The sequence below is a fragment of the Homo sapiens genome, chromosome 4 (genome assembly GCF_000001405.40).
Source record: "Homo sapiens chromosome 4, GRCh38.p14 Primary Assembly".
NCBI classification, from domain to species: Eukaryota; Metazoa; Chordata; class Mammalia; order Primates; family Hominidae; genus Homo; species Homo sapiens.
In genome coordinates this window covers 16,977,116-16,979,395 of record NC_000004.12, presented here as the reverse complement: position 1 = coordinate 16,979,395, position 2,280 = coordinate 16,977,116, and the positions used below count along the sequence as shown (strand labels likewise).

General features: G+C 35.5%; 1 annotated feature.

The window, feature by feature from the left end:
- Window positions 1,130-1,631: an enhancer, noted in NCBI's record as "NANOG hESC enhancer chr4:16979388-16979889 (GRCh37/hg19 assembly coordinates)". NCBI's record gives its function as "activates a minimal SCP1, AML or CMV promoter by ChIP-STARR-seq in primed H9 embryonic stem cells {active_cell/tissue: H9 hESC(primed)}" and the evidence as "EXISTENCE:reporter gene assay evidence [ECO:0000049][PMID:30033119]".

The window sequence follows — 2,280 nt, the reverse complement described above, 5'->3', positions numbered from 1 at the left end:
TTCTCATGCCATTGACTAGAACTTCTAACTTATGCTGAATAAGAATAGTAAGAATATCTTTGCCTTGTTTCTGATCGTACCAGGAAAGCATTCGGTCTTTCACATTAATATAATGTTGGCATTTTTAAAAATGCCTTTTATTGAATTGAGGAAGTTCCTCTCTATTTCTGTTTCTCTGAAAGTGTTGTCATGAATGGGTATTGAACTTTATCTAACACTGCACTAATAAATAGGATTATGTGACTTTTCTACTTATTAATTTGGTGCATTACATTATTAATTTCCAAATATTGAGCCACCCTTATATTATTGAAGCATGCCCCCTCTTGATGATAGCGTAAAATTCTTTTTTTCTTTTTTCTTTCGGGGGGACGGAGTCTTGCTCTGTTACCCAGGCTGGAGTGCAGTGGCGCGATCTCGGCTCACTGTAAGCTCCGCCTCCCGGGTTCACTCCATTCTCCTCCCTCAGCCTCCCAAGTAGCTGGGACTACAGGTGCTGGCCACCACGCCTGGCTAATTTTTTGTATTTTCAGTAGAGTTGGGGTTTCACCATGTTAGCCAGGATGGTCTCGATCTCCTGACCTCGTGATCTGCCCGCCTCGGCCTCCCAGAGTGCTGGGATTACAGGTGTGAGCCACCACACCTGGCCTGATGATAGTGTAAAATTCTTAATATATATTGCTGAATTCTATTTGCTAATATTTTGTTAAGAATTTTTGTGTCTATCTTAGTGAGGAATGTAGTTTTTATTTCTTAGTGAGTCTGTAGTTTTCATTTTTGTAATCTCTTTGTCTGATTCTGGTAATGTTAACTTTGTAAGATAAAATGAGTAATATTTCTTCCTTTTCTGTGTCGGAAGGAGATGGTGTAGAATTGATATTCCTGCTTCCTAAAAGATCTGGAAGAATTCTAGAATGAAATCATCTAGGCCTGAAGATTTTTTTTTATAGGTTTTAAATTACAAATTCAACTTTTAATATAGTTATAGGAATATTCAAATTATCAATTTAACATTGGGTAAGTTGTGATAGTTTGTTTTTTTCAAGGAATCAGTTCATTTTAACTAAGTCGTCAAATGTTCTCTTGGTCTATCTTGTGTTGTTATAGAAGAATACCTGAGACAGGTTATATATATAATATATTATATATATATGGGTTTACTTGGGTCACAATTCCAGAGGATGGAAGGTCCAAGAAGCATGACACTAGTATCTGCTCAGCTGCTGATGAGGGCCTTGTGCTACATCATAGCATGGCAGAGAAGTGGATGGGGAAGCAGGCGTGCCAGAGGGGCAGAGCATGAGAGGCCATCTGGCATTATAACCACTTACACTCTTGGGAACTGATTCATTCCCTGCAAGAACTAACCCAGGTGCATAAGAAAGACATTAATCAGTCTGAACGACCTAAACTCCTCTTAAAGTCACTACCTCCCAACACCATTACACTGGCAATTCCATTTCAACATGAGTTTTGCCGGTGACACTCAAACCACATCTAAAGTATATGTGTACAATTGTTTGTAATTTTTCATTATGATCCTTTTGATGCTTGCAGAGTCTGCAGTACCTCCTGTTTCATTATTAATTTTGGTCATTTATGTCTTTTCTCTTTTTCTTTGTCAATCTTGCTGCAGTTTTGCTTATTCTAGTGGTCTTTTCAGATAATTATTTGTTTAATTTATTTTCTTTATTGTTTCTGTTTTTAATTTTAATAGTTTCTGCTCTTACAGTTATTATTTCCTTCTTTCTACTTGGTTTGGGTTTATTTTGCTCTTCTATTTTTTTTTTTTTTTTTTTTGAGATCAGAGTTTAGATTATTGATTTGGGACTGTTTGTCTTTTCTAGTATCTACATTTAGTGCTATAAGTTTCCCTTTCAGTGTTGCTTCAGCTGCATCCCACAAATTTTGATGTGTTGTATTTTCATTTTCACTAACTTTATATCTTTTTTTAAAATTCTACTGAGACTTTCTCTTTGACTCATGGATTATTGAGAAATGTGTTGTACATTTTTCAAGTGTTTGTAGTTTTTTTTCTCTTTTCTTTTTAGTTATTGACTTCTAATCTGATTCTATTGTGGTTGGAGGACACATACTGTATGATTTCACATATTTTAAGTTTGTTGAGGTTTCTTTTATGGCCCAAGATGTGATCTATCTTGGCATATGTTCTCTGAGAACTTGAATAAAATGAGTATTCTGCTATTGTTGGGTGGAGTGTTTCATAGATGTTGATTAGATTGTCTTGTTTGATAGTGTTGTTGAATTCTTCTATATCTT